Below are 17,630 nucleotides of genomic sequence, written 5' to 3'. Positions count from 1 at the left end.
GTTACAGCATGTGACCCCTGTTACAGGATATTTAGTCCCCACTTTACAGAAGAGAAAACTAAAGTTAGCAGGCTGAGCAACTGGCCCCAAGCCACTGCTAGCAAGTAGGAGCATCAGAATTCAAATCCAGGTCGGGCGCAGTGGCTCACGCCTGTAATCCCAGCACTTTGGGAGGCCGAGGCGGGTGGATCACCTGAGGTCAGGAGTTCAAGACCAGCCTGGCCAACATGGCGAAACTCCGTCTCTACTAAAAATACAAAAATTAGCCAGACGTGGTGGCAAGCACCTGTAATCCCAGCTACTCGGGAGGCTGAGGCACGAGAATTGCTTGGACCCAGAAGGCGGAGGTTGCAGTGAGCCGAGATCTTGCCACTGCATTCCAGAGTGGGCAATAGAGCAAGACTCTGTCTAAAAAAAAAAAAAAATTTAAATTCAGGCTGGGCGCAGTGGCTCACGCCTGTAATCCCAGCACTTTGGGAGGCCGAGGCGGGCAGATCACTGGAGGTCAGGAGTTGGAGACCAGCCTGGGCAACATAGTGAAACCCCGTCTCTACTAAAAATACAAAAATTAGCCGGGCATGGTGGTGCAAGCCTGTAGTCCCAGCTACTCAGGAGGCTGAGGCACGAGAATGGCTTGAACCTGGGAGGCAGAGGTTGCAGTGAGCTGAAATTGCACCACTGCACTCCAGCCTGGACGACAGAGCGCGACCCTGTCTCAAAAAAAAGAAGAATTCAAATATAGCCCCATTGGGGTTGATATTCAACCTTGTTGGGTGGCAAGAATTGGTGCTGAATGTTTTGGGGAGACAGTGGATAGACCAGGGGAGTCGGGGGGAAGTCCCTGGCATGAGGAATACAGACCCCACTGACAGGAGGGGAGAAAGGGGCCTGGCTTCTTCTCTCTCCTGGCCAGGCTGACCCAGCTCCTGCCCCCTGATCTTTGCCTGATGTCCCTCCTCTCTCCGTCACAGGGGAAGCTGTTGTTCTGTTGCTCCTGGGTCCCCTTGGTCTCGACATGTGCATCTGTCTTCCCTGGCACTCAGTCCTGTGGGGGAGAATCCTTACCCAGCCCCGTCTGCACCTAGAACCTCCAGCATCCCCATCGTCTTGGGAAGCGGGGGTAACACAGAAAACTTACTCTTTGTTCTTCATCCCACCCTGCAGCAAGCTCTGAGTCTGCACCCTCTTTGTGGGGTTTTGGTCTGGTGAGGGGCTATTGGTGGTGAGGATGGCGATGCCTACCCTCTGCTGGGCTCAGTGGCTGGCGCTTGAGTATATGATCTCACGTGACTGGCATGACTGCCCTGCAGCAGGTGTTATTACTGCTGCTTTAGAGACACACAGTGGGGGGCTCAGCTAGATGAGGCTCATCGAGCTCGCAAGTGGCAGAGCTGGGATTTGAAACCATGTCCATCCGACCCCAAAATCTGAGCTAAGCAGTTAGGAAGGGTGTTTGTTTGTTTGTTTGTTTGTCTCCCTCTGTTGCCTAGGCCGGTGCACAGTGGCGTGATCTCAGCTCACTGCAACCTCTGCCTCCCAGGTTCAAGTGATTCTCCTGCCTCAGCTTCCTGAGTACCTGGGATTATAGGCATGCATCACCACACATGGCTAATTTTTTGTATTTTTAGTAGAGACAGGGTTTCACCATGTTGACTGGTCTTGAACTCCTGACCTCAAGTGAGCTGCCTGCCTTGGCCTCCCAAAGTGCTGGGGTTATAGGTGTGAGCCACCGTGCCTGGCCCTGGAAGGGTGTCTTGTCAATGCTGCTGGAGAGGGCTTGTCTTTCATGCCCAGGATGGGGCAGCCTGGGACTCAGGCACAGGTTGCCCAGCTGCCTGGCTGTGAGTCCTCAGGGATCCAGGTGCCCTTCAACAGGGACCTCACTCTGCTCAGGAGCCACTGGAGCAGCTCCGTGTGAACCCCATGGTTCTGCTCTGCTCTGCCCACGGCTCTTGGGTGAAGCCTCTACTCTGGCCTGAGGTCCCAGGCCTGCCCTTAAGTCACATCTCACCCTCCTAGCTGTGTGAGCCCAGGCAGGCGGCTCAGGCTCTCTGAGCCTCCTCACCTCTTCCAGGAGGGGAAATCAGTCTTTTCCATTTCAGGAAGGCCCAGCCGTGGATACTCTGTTGACCCGAAAGACACTAAGTGGTCAGAAGGGGGATGTTGAGCCTGGTGGGTAAGGTCCCTGTACCCCTAGCCCCAGCCCTGGTCCCTACACACAGTGTGACCCAGAACAAGTGGCTTTAGCTCTGGGCCTCCTTTCCCACTTAGCAAAGATGGCCCTTCTGACAGGTTTGCATAGCTGGCCCAGGAGGCGGCTTTTTGTGAATCATGAGGTGCTACACGTGTGTGAAGCTTTTCTGGTTCATCAAGCTACAAGCTTGGGACTGTGTATTTTTTATTTGAGTCTGCTTCTTTTTTGTGGCTCTGATTTTTGTTGTTTATTTAATTTTTCTGTAGAGCCGGGTTCTCAACTATGTTGCTCAGACTGGTCTCAAACTCCTGGGCTCAAATGATCTGCCTGCCTCTGCCTCCCAAAGTTCTGGGATTACAGGTGGGAGCCACTATATCCAGCCTGATGTTTTTTTTTTTTTTTTTTTTAGACGGGGTCTCACTCTGTCACCCAGGCTGGAGTGCAGTGGCATGATCTCAGCTCACTGCAACCTCTGCCTCCTGGGTTCCAGCGATTCTCTTGCCTCAGCCTCCTGAGTAGCTGGGACTACAGACACCCGCCACTACACCCAGCTGATTTTTAATAGAGACGGGGTTTCACCATATTGGCCAGGCTGGTCTCAAACTCCTGACCTTGTGATCTGCACACCTCGGCCTCCCAAAGTGCTGGGATTACAGGCGTGAGCCACTGCGCCTGGCCCTGATTTTGTTTTTTAAGGCTTAGCTGGGCAAGTGTATTTCTAGTCAAATTACAGTATCTGTACAGCTGGAGGAGTGGGGAACAGGATCCCTTCCTCCATTCGCTTGCTTTGGTTTGATGTTTCCTGAGCATCTGTTGTGTGCCAGGCCCAGTGCTGGGATGGAGAAAGAAGCCAGGCAGGGCGTCAGCCCTAGAGGTGCCCATGGTCCCCTGGGGTATCAGGAGTAAACAGCCCATCCAATCCAGGGTGACGTGCACAGCAAATGAGGGGTGTTGCAGGAGGGAACCTGACCACCCTCCAACACCAGGCTAGGTGGAAGAGGGCTGATCAGGGAACTTCCTGGAGGCACAGGAACCCCAGATGAGTTGTAAGAGATTGAGGGGATCTGGGTAGGCAGAGAAGTAGAGAGGGGACCTTCCAAGCAGAGGGAACAGCATGAGCAAAGGCTGGGGTGTGAATTGCAGGTGTGTGAATTGCCCAAATCCCCTCCCCAGGGCTCTTCCTGCTGGGTGATGAGGTTCACCTTAATACTGGGCTGCTCCTACCACACCCAGTTTGCACCTTGGACCAGTGAGTTGTCCTTCTCTGTCCTAAAGTTTTCCAAAACCATCCAGCCGTTTGTCTGTCTGGCTATCTATTATCTATTCATTGATCTATTCACCCATCCATCTATTAATTCATTTATCTATGCATGTATTCATCTGTCTCTTCATTTGTCATCTATCCATCCACTTATCCATCCATATAATCCAGCCATTTATTTATAAAGCATTCATCCATCTATCCATTTGTCTATCCACCCATGCATCCACCTGTGTATCCATCTAATCATCTGTTTCTCCATGTCTCTGCTTGCCTGTCCATCCATCCATCCATCCATCCATCCATCCATCCATCCATCCATCCGTCTGTCTGTCCATCCACCTATTTATCCAGCCAGCAACACATCCAACAAATATCTGTTGAGTGCTGACAATGTGCCAAGATCTGCTGGGCAGAGCCTTGCTGGGGAGGTGCAGGGGAAGTGATGAGCAGATGTGGGCTGAGGTTTGCCTCACTCCCTGCCAGGGCCCTGCCCAAAATGGGCACAGACTTGCCCCGGGGGTTCCTCCCCGTCCTGGGCTGCCTGGTCTTGTTAGGAGGGAGGCGGCCCTCACCTCTGGGCTTGGGAAAATGTCCCTGGCATTCTACTCTTGAGAGTGTCACTGTATTAGTCCATTTTTCTACTGTTGTAAGAACTGCCTGGGACTGGGTAATTTATAAAGGAAAGAGGTTTAATTGACTCATAGTTCAGCATGGCTTGGGAGGCCTCAGGAAACTTACAGTCATGATGGAAGGCAAAGGGGAAGCAAGCACCTTCTTCACAAGGTGGCAGGAAGAACTGCCGAGTGACGGGGGGCAAGAGCCCCTTATAAAACCATCAAATCTGATGAGAACTCACTATCCTAACAGTACCGGGAAATTGCCCCCATGATCCAATTACCTCCGCCTGGTCTCTCCCTTGACATGTGGGGATTACAATTCAAGATGAGATTTGAGTGAGGACGCAAAGCCAAACCATATCCGTCACCTACGCAGACAGTGGGTGAGAAAATGCACCCAGACTGCAGAAGGCCACACACTCCCCAGGTCACCTGCCTCCCTCCTGCTCCAGCCTCAAACATCACCCCTTGCTGCCTTTCTATGGACAGATGTGAACTCTGGGCCATCCTCAGCCACTGCTGCTGATCTATTAGCTCTTCTTCCTCATCTCAGGTCTTTGGGTTTCCAGACAAGATGCCAAATATTTGTGCTGCCCCCTGAGCATTTTTTTACAAGATGGGATCTTGCTATTTTGGCCAAGTTGATCTTGAACTCCTGGCCCCAAGCAATCCTCCCACCTTGGCCTCCCAAAGTGCTGGGATTACAGGCATGAGCCACAATGCCCAGCCCCACTGATCTTCTTGTAGCCCATTCTCAACTAGTCCCAGAGCCTCAAGGCAGCCTTTTTAGCTCTTGGGAAAGCCAAAGTTATTGCTAACCTCACTGTGTAGCCCTTCTCATGTCTCTGAACCAGCAAACTTATGACCTGGGCTTATATCTGTTCACTTAGGATGTGAAAATACCAACCCACCGCCTCTCAGGTTCAGAGGGTTCCAGGGTGCAGATGGGGCTGGGTTGGGGTGCCCCCCACTACAGGACCAAGGTGCCAGGAAAGGCAGGGCCACCCATTGGGGCCAAGGGGACCCAGCCAGCACTAGAGCAATGGCTCTACCTGTGATGGACAGAGGAGGAGCCTGGGGCAAAGACTGGGAGGCAGGACTGGGTCAGCCTGGCCAGGAAATAGCAGGAGCCAGGCCCCTTACCCTGCTCCTGTCAGTGGGGTCTTTGTTCCCCCTCCCAGGCCCTCCTTCCCAACACCCATGGTCTGCTCGCTGTCCCCGAGGCCACAGGGCATGGTGCAGAGCTGACATCATTTGATGTGTCTGCAGCAGTCACCGGCTGTGCAAGATGACATTCTTAGATCACTCCAGGAGCTGGTACGTGTGTCCAGGTGAGAGGTGAACTTGGTGACTTTCATAATCAGGAAAAAATATTAAGCTGCCTGTACCCACGCGTTTCAGTTTCCTAGGGGTGTTGTAAAAAATCACCACAAACAGGGCAGCTTAAAGCACCAGAAATGGATTTTCTCAGAGCTCTGTAGACCAGAAGACAGAAATCAAGTTGTCCAGCAGGCCCACTGGGTACACTCACAGGTAGCTGGGGTGAGGATTTCAACATATCTTTTTGGGGAATATAATTGGGCTCACAACACCATAGGGCCCTGATTTTGTTTAAAAACCACATTGGTGGCTGGGTGCAGTGACTCACGCCTGTAATCTCAGCACTTTGGGAGGCCGAGGCAGGAGATCCTCTTGAGTCCAGGGGTTCGAAATCAGCCTAGGCAACATAGCCAGACCCTGTCTCTACAAAAAATTAAAAAATTAGCCAGGCTTGGTGGTGTGCACCTGTAGTCCCAGCTCCTTGGGAGGCTAAAGGAGGAGGATCACTTGAGCCCAGGAGGTGGAGGCTGCAGTGAGCCATACCCGTGCCACTGCACTCCAGCCTGGGCCACAGAGTGAGACCCTGTTTCTAAAAAACTTTTTTAATTTGAAAGACAAAAAAACACACACTTTCATATGTTCCGTTTCTTGATCCAGATGCTTATTACATGGGAGTTTTTGCCCGAAAATTCCATCAAGCTATACATTTATGATCCATGCATTTTTCTGCACATATGTTATATTTCAATCAACGTATTCTAAAGCACACACATGCTGAAAACAGCCGACCTACCATGGGGTTAACAGAGGCCTCCCCTGGGGGGTAGGTTTATGGATTTCATTTTTCTCCGTTATGTTCCAAGTTGTCTGCAATAAGCCTGCATTCACTTTGTGGAATAAAAAATACATGTATGTCATTAAAAAAGTGCTAGAGATGGCACATTCCCTCTCAGATCCTTCCCTGCTCCCAAAACTATTGTAAAAGGAGGTGAGGATTCGAATGGAAATTTGGCTGCCTCAAGATTCTTTCCAAATTAATATTTTTAGCACGATTACGCACCGCTTCAAATGTCCTGCTAATGATATGTTGTCCTGATTATCCAAACTGTCTTTCTGCGGAGTGATTTGTGTGGCTCCAGCAGGAATCTCACCTGTGTCCTCTTCCGGAGGGCGAGGTAATAATAGGACTGACCTCATGGGTGGCCAGGAGGCTTAGCTGGGATAATGCACATGAAACCCCATGCACGGGGCTCTGGCACAGGGGACCGGCTGCCTCAAGTACCCTCCTGATTAGGGAATGCCCAGAGAGCGGCCCAGGTGCCTCAGGGTCCTCGGTTCATGGCTCAGTTTATTTGGGGAAGTCTGAGACCCTCCCCTGTTCCATGTTGTCATCCCTGCGGGATGGACAGGGATGCTGGGGGCTGCCCTTCTCTGGCATGTTTTCCCGTTTTGCTCCCCCACTTTTTAAATTTAAATTTAAATTTTTATTTATTTTGTTTTTTTGAGATGGAGTCTCACTTTGTCACCCAGGCTGGAGTGCAGTGGTGTCATCTCAGCTCACTGCAACCTCTGCCTCCTGGGCTGAAGTGATTCTCTTGCCTCAGCCTCTCAAGTATCTGGGACTACAGGTGCCTGCCACCATGCCCGGCTACTTTTTGTATTTTTAGTAGAGATGGGATTTCACCATGTTGGCCAGGCTGGTCTCAAACTCCTGACCTCAAATGATCTGCCCACCTCAGCCTCCCAAAGTACTGAGATTACAGGCGTGAGCTGCTGCGCCCGGCCCCGCTTTGCCCCCTTTTAATGAATCTTGGTGCCCTTTTCCTTCTGTCTTCCTCACTTGTTAGGGTTGTGTGCTATTTCATCTTGTGCGTTTAAGACATGGGGTCATCACTGTTCTGTGATCACAGGAAAGCTCAAAGGAAGCTGACAGCGGTGAGATGGTGGCAGGACTGGAGGAGATAGAGAGGGGATGTGTGTCCTTGTGTCTCCTGGGTCTCTGCTGCCACCCAACCCCCCGCCCCCCCCCCCCACTCTTGGCTTTGGAATTTGGGCTGAGTTGTATATGAACCTGGTCTCCTTGGCCAATATCTGTCCAAATTACCAATGCAGAAATCCTCTGTCCCAGCTGGTCTGCAGCCCAGCAGTAATCCTACAGATAAACTGGGGCTTGTGAGACCTTATTTACCTCTGAGGTTATTTTTTGCAACATTGTAAAAGCGAAAGATTGAAACAACCTAAACCCCCTTCAGTAGGGCACTAGTTAAAAATAAATGGCACCATCTGTATAACCGCATATGCTATGCAGCTGTGAAAAACCAGGGAGGAAGCATTTCCAAGCTTTATTAGGTAAGAAAAGCAAGTATGCACAAAGCAAGTATACCTCTTTGTGTAAAAAGGGGAGGACGTGAGAATATATTCCTGTGAGCTTACATTGCATAAACTACAGCTACTCACTGAATGGTGAAATGTTACTTGTGGAGGTGGAAGTGAAACTTCGTGGTTAGGGGACTTGGGGTTGAGAGCAGGACACAGATTTGTTCATTGCCTTTTGGTGAGCATGTACACGCACAACTTTTCAAAATCTTAAACTTAGAAAAATGTAACATCATTAAAGCATAGCATGTTTTGAGTGTAGCGGTTTCGGTTTGAGTGTCACACTGGATCTTGTTTCAGCCTGTCAGCTGTGTGACCTTGGGTAAGTTACTTAACTGCTCCGTTTCCCCATCAACAGAATGCAGTTCCAACCTTGGGCTACTCAGATGGGTAAATGAAATAAACTACTCCCTCCTTCCCTCCTCCCCATCCTCCTCTCCTCCCCTCCCCCATCCCCTCCTCTTCCCTCTCCGCTCCGCCTCCTCCTCCCTCTCCCCTCCCCTCTTCCTCCTTCTCCCCTCCTCCTCCCTCTCCCCTCCCCTCCTCCTCCCTCTCTCCTCCTCCTCCCTCTCCCCTCCCCTCCTCCTCCCTCTCCCCTCCCCTCCTCCTCCCTCTCCCCGCCCCTCCTCCTCCCTCTCCCCTCCCCTCCTCTCCTCGTCCCTCTCTCCTCCTCCCCCTCCTCCCCTTCCCTCCTCTCCCTCCTCCGCTTCCCTCCTCCCCCTACTCCCCCTCCTCCCTTCCCCCTCCCCTCCTCCCTTCCCCCTCCCCTCCTCCCTTCCCCCTCCCCTTTCCCCTTCCCTGTCCTCCCTCCTACCCTCCCCTTCCCCTTTCCTTCCCCCTTCCCCCTCCCCCTTCCTCCTCCTCCCTCTACCTCTCCCCTCTTCCCCCTCTTTTCCTCTTTCCCTCCCCCTCTTTTCCTCTTTCCCTCCCCCTCTTTTCCTCTTTCCCTCCCCCTCTTTTCCTCCTTCCCTCCTCCCTCTGCCCCTCCCCCTCCCCCTCCTCCCATTTCTTCCCCTTCCCCCTCCCCTCTCTGCCCCCCACCTTGCTTTCATTCCCCTCCCCCTTCCTCCTTCCCTCCCCCTCCTCCCCTTTCTTTCCCTCCCCCTCCTCCCCTTTCTTTGCCTCCTCTCCCCCCTTTCCCCCTCCTCTCCCCACTTTCCCCCTCCTCTCCCCACTTTCTCCCTCCTCTTCTTCCTCCCCCTGCTTTCCTTCCTCCCCCTTCCTCCCTCTCCCTTTCTCCCTCCCCCTTCTACTACTCTCCCCTCTGTCCCTCCTGCTTTCCTCCCTGCCTTCCCTGCCATGCCTTTTCCCCTCCCACCTTCCCTCCCTCCCTCCCTCCTGCCTCCCCCACCTTCCCCTGTATATATGTTGGTTAATATCCAAAATATATAAAGAACTCCTACAACCCAATAGCAAAAAACCAAATAGCTCCAAAAATGGGCAAAGGACCTGAGCAGACTCTTCCCCAAAGAAGACAAATGAATGGTCAAGAGGCATATGAAAAGGTGCTTGACGCCACTCAGCAGGGAAATGCAAATCCAAAGAACAGTAGGCTATGGCCTCACACCTATTAGGGTGGCCATTCTCAAACAGAAGGTGGCCAGGCGCGGTTGCTCACGCCTGTAATCTCAGCACTTTGGGAGGCTGAGGCAGGTGGGTCACTAGGTCAGGAGTTCAAGACTAGCCCGGCCAACATGGTGAAACCCTGTCTCTACTAAAAATACAAAAAGTAGCCGGGCATTGTGGCGGACACCTGTAATCCCAGCTACTCAGGAGGCTGAGGCATGAGAATCGCTTGAACCCAGAAGGCGGAGGTTGCATGAGCCGAGATTGGGCCATTGCACTCCAGCCTGGGTGACAAAAGGGAAACTCCATCTCAAAAAAAATAATGAAAAATAAAAACCCAGAAGGCAACAAATGTTGGCAACGTTGGGCAGAAAAAGGAACCCTTGTGCACTGTGGTGTGAATGAATGTAAGACGGTGTAGCCACGATAGAAAACAGCATGGAGTTGTCTCGAAAAGTGAAACAGAACCACCACGTGATCCAGCAGTCCCACTTCTGGGTGTGGATCCAAAAGAATCAAATTCAGGACCTCAGAAAGAGATCTGCATATCCATTGCAGCACTACTCACAATAGCCAAGATACAGAAGCGACTCAGATGTCCAGAAGCTGATGAGTGGATAAAGAAAACATGGTAGAGTGATACAGTGGAATATTATTCACTCTTAAAAGGGAACAGGCCAGGCGTGGTGGCTCACACCTGTAATCCCAGCACTTTGGAGGCCGAAGTAGGTGAATCACCTGAGCTCTGGAGTTCTAGACCAGCCTGGCCAACATGGTGAAAACTCATCTCTACTAAAAATACAAAAAATTAGCCGGGCGTGGTGGTGGGTGCCTGTGATCCCAGCTACGTGGGAGGTGAGGCATGAGAACTGCTTGAACCCGGGAGGCAGAGGTTGCAGTGACCCAAGATCTTGCCACTGTACTCCAGCCTGGGCAAGAGTGAGACTCGCTCTCAAAAAAAAAAAAAAAAAAAAAAAAAGAAGAAGAAAAAGAAAACTATTTTATTTATTTATTTATTTATTTATCTATCTATTTATTTATTTTGAGACGGAGTCTCACTCTGTCACCACACTGGAGTGCACTGGTGCAATCTCGGCTCATTGCAACCTCTGCCTCCCGGGTTCAAGCAATTCTCCTGCCTCAGCCTCCTCAGTAGCTGGGACTACAGGTGCACGCCACCACGCGCAGCTAATTTTTGTACTTTTAGTAAAGACAGGGTTTCACCATGTTGGCCAGGATGGTCTCAATTTCCTGACCTCGTGTTCCACCCGCCTTGGCCCCCCCAAAGTGCTGGGATTACAGGCATGAGCCACCGCACCCGGCCGAAAACTCTAAGTTTTTAAAAAAATTTATTTATTTTGAGACAGGGTCTCATTCTGTTGCCCAGGCTGGAGTGCAGTGGTCGAATCACTGCTCACTGCAGGCTTGACCTCCCGGGCTCAAGCTATCCTCCCACTTCAGCCTCGCAAGTAGCTGGGACTACAGGCTTGCGGCACCACACCTGGCTAATTTTTTTAAACTGATTTTTGTGGAGATAGGGGTCTTACTAGGTTGCCTAGGCTGATCTTGAATTCCTGGGCTCAAATGATCCTCCCACCTTTGCCTCCCAAAGTGCTAGGATGACAGGCATGAGCCAGCGCACCTGGCCAGAGAAGGAAGCTCTGACATGTGCGTGACATGAATGAAGCTGGAGGACTTTATGCTGAAAGGGAAAGAAGCCAGTCACAGAAAGACAAATACCGCAGGATTCCACTCATACGAGGCATCTACAACAGTCGAACTCACAAAAACAGAGTAGAATGGTGGTTGCCAGAGGTGAGGGGTGAGGTAAATGGGGAGTTGCTATTCCACAGGTATAAAATTTCAGTTATGAAAGATTAATACTTATTTTTTTTTTTCCCAGACAGAGTCTCACTCTGTCGCCCAGGCTGGAGTGCAGTGGCGCCATCTCGGCTCACTGCAACCTCCACCTCCTGGGTTCAAGCAATTCTCCTGCCTCAGCCTCCCAAGTAGCTGGGATTACAGGCACGCGCCACCACGCCCAGCTAATTTTTGTATTTTTAGTAGAGACGGGGTTTTACCATGTTGGCCAGGCTGGTCTCAAATTCCTGACCTCGTGATCCACCCGCCTCAGCCTCCCAAAGTGCTGGGATTACAGGCGTGAGCCACTGCGCCCAGCCAAAATGAATACAATCTAAGGCCGGTCACAGTGGCTCACACCTGTAATCCCAGCACTTTGGGAGGCCGAGGTGGGAAGATTGCTTGAAGCCAGGAGTTTGAGACCAGCTGAGGAACAGCACGAGATCCTGTCTCTACACAGCAATTTAAAAAATTATCCTGGCACTGTGGCATGTGCCTGCAGTCCCAAGTACCTGGGAGGCTGAGATGAGAGGATCACTTGAGGCCAGGAGTTCGAGGCTTCAGTGAGCCATGATTGCACCACTGCACTCCATCCTGGGTGACAGAGCAAAACCCTGTCTCAAAAAAATAGATAAATAAAAAGTTCTAGAGATCTGCTGTATAACATAGTGCCTATAATTAACAGTACTGCATTGTACACTTAGAAATCTGTGAAAAGGGTAGACCTCGAGTTAATTGTTCTTACCAGAATTTTTTTTTTTAAGTCAGTGGTGAAGGGCCAGGCACAGTGGGTCACGCCTGTAATCCCAGCACTCTGGGAGGCCGAGGTGGGCGGATCATCTGAGGTCAAGAGTTTGAGACTTGCCTGGCCAACATGGCAAAACTCCACCTCTACTAAAAATACAAAAATCAGCCAGGCGTGGTGTAATCCCAGCTACTCAGGAGGCTGAGGCAGAAGAATCGCTTGAACCCGTGTGGTAGAGGTTGCCGTGAGATGAGATTACATCACTGCACTCCAGCCTGGGTAGCAGACGAAGACTCAGTCTCAAAAAAAAAGTCAGTGGTGGGATTTGGCTTGTAGGATATAGGTGCCAACTCCTTATCTAGGGTTTCAGAAACCAAAGGCACAAACAGTGTTGGTGCTGCCTACTCGTTGCCCCTCTCCCTGAAGGCAGTGAGTAGGAGCAGCAGGCTCTTTGCTTAGAAAGAAGGAAAAAGAGAAAATGACTAGAGGATTAAAAAAAAAATGAGATTTTCATGCTGAAACACCGGCTTATTTGTGAATCGTTTTGCAAGTCAAATATCACTCCCTGATTTACCTTTGAGGGGAGATATATTTTCCTACACCGATTTGCCTAAAGCTACCAGTGCCTGATGCTCCCAGGATCATCAGATTCTCGAAAGCTCTTTCATGCCCAACCTGAACGTCTCTGCGTCTGAGCGCTCCAGGTGTGTGGCTAAGGCCTCTTGCTTAGCGGTTTGGCTAGTCTGGATTGGAGTCATGGTCCTGCTGTTTTCTGCCTGTGTGACCTTGGGCAGGATACCTTGCCTTTCTGTGGCTCAGTTGCCTTCTTTGTAAACCCCGGGAAAACACACATCTCCTGTGCTGAGGGTTGTCAGAAGACTCAATGAGTCAGTGTTTATAAGATGCTCAGCACTGGGCCCGCTAGAGGTGGATGTGCAACAAATGGAAACTGACTACCCAGCGTCACACTCTGATTATCTTGGGGAGAGACTTGGGGCAACTGATTGGAAAGATGATTAAAAGGTAGACGAAAGCCAGGTATGGTGGGAAGTGCCAGTAGTCCCACCTGCTGGGGTGGCTGAGGCAGGAGGGTTGCTTGTGCCCAAGGAGTTTGAGTCCAGTCTGGATAACATAGTGAAATCCTGTATCTTAAAAAAAAAAAAAAAAAAAAAAAAAAAGAGGCCGGGCACGGTGGCTCACGCCTGTAATTCCAGCACTTTGGGAGGCCGAGGCAGGCAGATCACCTGAGGTCAGGAATTTGAGACCAGCTTGGCCAACATGGCGAAACCTCGTCGCTACTAAAAATAAAAAATTAGCCAGGTCCGGTGGCACGCGTCTATAGTCCCAGCTACTCAGGAGGCTGAGGCAGGAGAGTTGCTTGAACCCAGGAGGCAAAAGTTGCAGTGAGCCAAGATCGTGCCACTGCACTCCAGCCTGGGTGACAAGAGTGAAATTCTGTCTCAAAGAAAAAAAAAATCAAACGTTGGGCATGGTGGCAAGCGCCTGGAGTCCCAGCTACTCAGGAGACTGACATGGGAGGATAGATTGAGCCCATAGAGAGAGAATCTCATTCAGGGCTGGTTTTGAACTCCTGGGCTCAAGTGATCCTCCGCCTCAGCCTCCCAGAGTGGGGATTAGAGGCGTAAGCCACTGCACCCAGCCCAGTGGTTTTAGAAGAAAAATATTAAGCAAAGAAAGTGAACAGGAGGAAAAATGATACTGACTCAAGTTTGGTAAGCTCTGGGGTTGAATGACGATTGGAGTTCTGGAATAGAGAGCCAGTGGCATCGTGGGGGACTTTGGAGCAGTGAGATAGGAACCAGGTATTTTTGAAGGGGTACTCAAGGATCCTGCAGTTACTTAGTATCTCTGGGCCTCAGTTTCCTCACCTGCAAAATGGGGCAGGTGATGATTGTGAGAATTCAGTGAGATCAAGCAGGTGACATGCTTGGCACAGGGACAGGCACATCCTAACATCTACGGTTTCATTTTTAGGTTGTAGGGGGAGCTAAATGCATTGTGGTGCCCTGGATCAGGCCCTAAAACAGAAAAAGGGCATTGGGGGAAAATGAGGGAAATCTGAATGCGTCCGGAGGGCAGTTCACAGTCATGACCTAGGTTAGCATCTGTCTGGGCATGATCAGGTAAGATGCTGGCATTTGGAGAAGCTGGGCGAAGGGACACAGGACCTCTCTGTACCATCTTTGCAACTCTTCTGTGAATCTAGAATTCTTCTTGGCCGGGCGCGGTGGCTCACGCCTGTAATCCCAGCACTTTGGGAGGCCTAGATGGGCGGATCACTTGAGGTCAGGAGTTTGAGAGTAGCCTGGCCAACATGGTGAAACCCCACCTCTACTTAAAAAAAAAAAAAAAAAAAAAAAAAATGAGCCTGGTATGGTGGCAGGTGCCTGTAGTCCCAGCTACTCGGGAGGCTGAGGCAGAAGAATTGCTTGAGCCTGGGAGGAGGAGGTTGCAGTGAGCCGAGATCACACCACTGTACTCCAGCCTGGGCCACAGAGCAAGACTCCGTTTCAAAAATAAAAGAAAAAATTGCTCTTCTATTTCTTTTTGTAGAGATAGGGTCTTGCAGTGTTGCCCAGGCTGGTCTCGAGCTCCTGGCCTCAAGTGATCCTCCCACTTTGGCTTCCCAAAGTGCTGGGGTTAAGGCATGGGCCACCGTGCCCGGCTAGTAAATCTAAAATTATTCTAAAATAAAATGTTTATTTAGAAACATTCAAAGGGATGAGGGTAGAGTGTTATAAGTCCTCAGGTAAGGGAGGCGCTGAAACCAGCTTGGGAGATTAAAGGCTTCCTACAGGAGACGGAAGGCTGAGTTTTGGAGGGGCGCAGGCGCTGCTTACAGAAGGAGGGGGTCGGAGTCAGGCCCTTCCTCGCCACCTCCCGGGAACCTGGCCCAAAGCAAGTGTCAGTCCTCAGAGAGAGATCTCCCAGCCGCAGGCTGGGTCCTGTCATTGTCACACACCCCTCCCTATTTTCTTCTTGGCCTGATCGCAGCACTGTAATCAACTAGTTCCTGGCAGGAGTCAGGGCCGGCTTGACGGGTATGTCCTGTGCTCAGGAGGGCCCAGGGCAGGGATTGGTGGCTCAGACCTGTAATCCCAGCATTTTGGAGAACTGCTTGAACTCAGGAGTTTGAGGTCGGCCTGGGCAATATAGCAAGACCTTGTCTCTGCCGGAAGAAAAAAAAAAAGCCCGGCGTGGTGGCATGTCCCTGTAGTCCCAGCTACCTGGGAGGCTGACGCAGGAGGATCACTTGAACCAGGAGGTTGAGGCTGCAGTGAGCCATGATTGCACCACTGCAGTCCAGTGTGGGCAACAGAACCAGACCCTGCCTCAAACAAGGGCCCGGTGCTTGGCTGAATGCTCTGCTGTTGCTGTTTTGAAACTCATGATAACTTTTTTTTTTAATTCTTTTTTGAGACGGAGTCTCTCTCTGGCCTAGGCTGGAGTGCGGTGGTGCCATCTTGGCTCACTGCAACATCCGCCTCCCAGGTTCAAGTGATTCTCCTGCCCCGACCTCCCAAGTAGCTGGCATTACAGGCATACACTACCACTCCTGGCTAGTTTCTGTATTTTTAGTAGAGATGAGATTTCATGATGTTGCTCAGGCTGGTCTCGAACCCCTGACCTCATATGATCCACCCACCTCGGCCTCCCAAAGTGCTGAGATTACAGGTGTGAGCCACTGTGCCCGGCTGCTGCTAATTTTTGAACAAAGGAAACTGCATTTTCATTTTCAACTGGGCCCCCCAACAAATCATGTGGCCAGTCCTATAAGATTTGTAGGCTGTCTGCCCTGCCAGACCATCACATTAGTTGCCTATGGCTGCTGTGGTGAATTTCCACAATCAGCAGCTTAAAACAACTCACATTTGTTACCTTACAGTTCTGGAGGTCAGAAGTCTAAATTAGGTCCATAAGGCGTCATTCTTTCTGTTTATTTTGGGTTCTTTTGTTTGCCTTTTTTTAGAGACAGGGTCTCACTCTGTTACTCAGGCTGGAGTGCGGTGATGTGATCACCATTCACAGCGAGGGATCTCCCAGCCCCAGGCTGGGGCCTGTCATTGTCACACACTCGGGGTCCCCTCCCCATTTTCTTCTTGGCCTGATTGCGCAGAAGTGCTGGTGCTGCCAGCACAGAACATTAAAATTTTTTTTTTCATATGAACAGGGTCTCACTATGTTGCCCAGGCTGGTCTCGAACTCCTGGCCTCCAGCAGTCCTCTCATCTCAGCATCCCGAAGTGCTGGGATTACAGGTGTGAGCCACTACGCCCAGCTGCTGCATTCTTTCTGGAGGCTCAGGAGAATCTGCTCCCATGCCCTTTTCAGCTTCCAGAGGCTACCTGCTCTCTTTGGCTTGTGGCCCCTTTTTACTGTTTTCAAAGCCAGTGATGTATTAATAGCATCTTCTCTTCTCTCCGACCTCTGCTTCAATCCCTACCTCTTCTGACTCTGACCCTCTTGCCTCCCTGCTGTAAGAACTCTTGTGATTATTTTGGGTGCACTTGGATAATCTAGTATAATCTCCTCATCTCAAAATGTCTTATTTAATCTCCTCTGCCAAGTCCCTTGTGCTACATATGGTGACATATTCACAGGTTCCTAAGATTAGGATGTGTGCATCTTTGGGGACCGTTGTTCAGCCAGCTACAACCACAACCACGATAGCTGGGAGTGCAGAGCTTCATCTGCTCACCACTGCATCTCCTGACCTGGCATGGTGCCTGGCATATAGTAGATGCTCAATAAATAATTGTGTGCTAAGTGAATGCGTGCGGTGAGGCGTGTGGGGATGAGGGAGGGCAGGGGACTGGCTTGGGCAGGGCCCGGACAGTTGCTTTTCTGGGTTGGAGCTCAACTTATGGGTGGTGGGCAGTGGTCAGCGAGAAGCTGACCTTAAATGACAGAAACCTGGAGAGGTGCCAGTTCCTGGCCTTGCTGCCCCTTGGCCTTTCCAAGTCTGCCCAGCTGGTGTTGAATGTCCTGGCTTCCTGAGGCAAGGGCACACGGGCCTTCCTCCCCATGCCATCAGCTCGTCTGCCTTTGGGGATTGCGGGCGGAAACAGTGAAACAACCTGGATATTGCAATCCGCGCTCTGAGATGTGCTGCAAAGGGAGTTGTGTCATCGCAGTGGGGACGCGGTGACCCAGTGACCTGGAGGTCATGCCCTAAGTCCCTGGCTCTGTCCTCAAACCGGCTGTGGGATGGTTTCTCTTTTGGTTGTGGCAAATGCTGAGCACCGATTGCGTACTAGGCACCATGCATGCTAGGCACTGTGCCAAGTCTGGGGATAGGGCAATGACAAGAGACAAGGGGAGTGAGGGCCCTCAGTACTAAGAACAGGGCTGGGCGCGGTGGCTCACGCTTATAATCCCAACACTTTGGGAGACCAAGGTAGGAGGATTGCTTGAGGCCAGGAGTTCAAGACCAGCTCGGGCAACATGGTGAGATCCCTGTGTCTACAAAAAATACAGATTAAAAAAGCCCGGTGTGGTGGCGCGAACCTGTAGTCCAAGTTACTTGGAAGACTGAGGTGGCAGGATTGCTTGAACCCGGGGGTTCAAGGCTGCAGTGAGCCACGATCACACCACTGCACTCAAGACAAGACAAGTGAGACCTGGGCAAGACAGTGAGACCCTGTTTCTAAAAAGCAGACACACAAAT

The 17,630-nt window shown here is 51.1% G+C and overlaps 5 annotated features.

The window, feature by feature from the left end:
* Positions 5,606–5,655: an enhancer, noted in NCBI's record as "active region_10497". NCBI's record gives its function as "activates an Ori minimal core promoter by ATAC-STARR-seq in GM12878 lymphoblastoid cells {active_cell/tissue: GM12878}" and the evidence as "EXISTENCE:reporter gene assay evidence [ECO:0000049][PMID:35858748]".
* Positions 7,972–8,071: an enhancer, noted in NCBI's record as "active region_10496". NCBI's record gives its function as "activates an Ori minimal core promoter by ATAC-STARR-seq in GM12878 lymphoblastoid cells {active_cell/tissue: GM12878}" and the evidence as "EXISTENCE:reporter gene assay evidence [ECO:0000049][PMID:35858748]".
* Positions 8,192–8,251: a silencer, noted in NCBI's record as "silent region_7232". NCBI's record gives its function as "represses an Ori minimal core promoter by ATAC-STARR-seq in GM12878 lymphoblastoid cells {active_cell/tissue: GM12878}" and the evidence as "EXISTENCE:reporter gene assay evidence [ECO:0000049][PMID:35858748]".
* Positions 9,045–9,574: an enhancer, noted in NCBI's record as "OCT4-NANOG hESC enhancer chr16:14447139-14447668 (GRCh37/hg19 assembly coordinates)". NCBI's record gives its function as "activates a minimal SCP1, AML or CMV promoter by ChIP-STARR-seq in naive and primed H9 embryonic stem cells {active_cell/tissue: H9 hESC(naive and primed)}" and the evidence as "EXISTENCE:reporter gene assay evidence [ECO:0000049][PMID:30033119]".
* Positions 12,059–12,168: an enhancer, noted in NCBI's record as "active region_10495". NCBI's record gives its function as "activates an Ori minimal core promoter by ATAC-STARR-seq in GM12878 lymphoblastoid cells {active_cell/tissue: GM12878}" and the evidence as "EXISTENCE:reporter gene assay evidence [ECO:0000049][PMID:35858748]".

The sequence above is a fragment of the Homo sapiens genome, chromosome 16, assembly GCF_000001405.40.
Source record: "Homo sapiens chromosome 16, GRCh38.p14 Primary Assembly".
NCBI classification, from domain to species: domain Eukaryota; kingdom Metazoa; phylum Chordata; class Mammalia; order Primates; family Hominidae; genus Homo; species Homo sapiens.
This window is presented reverse-complemented; position numbering and strand designations above follow the sequence as displayed.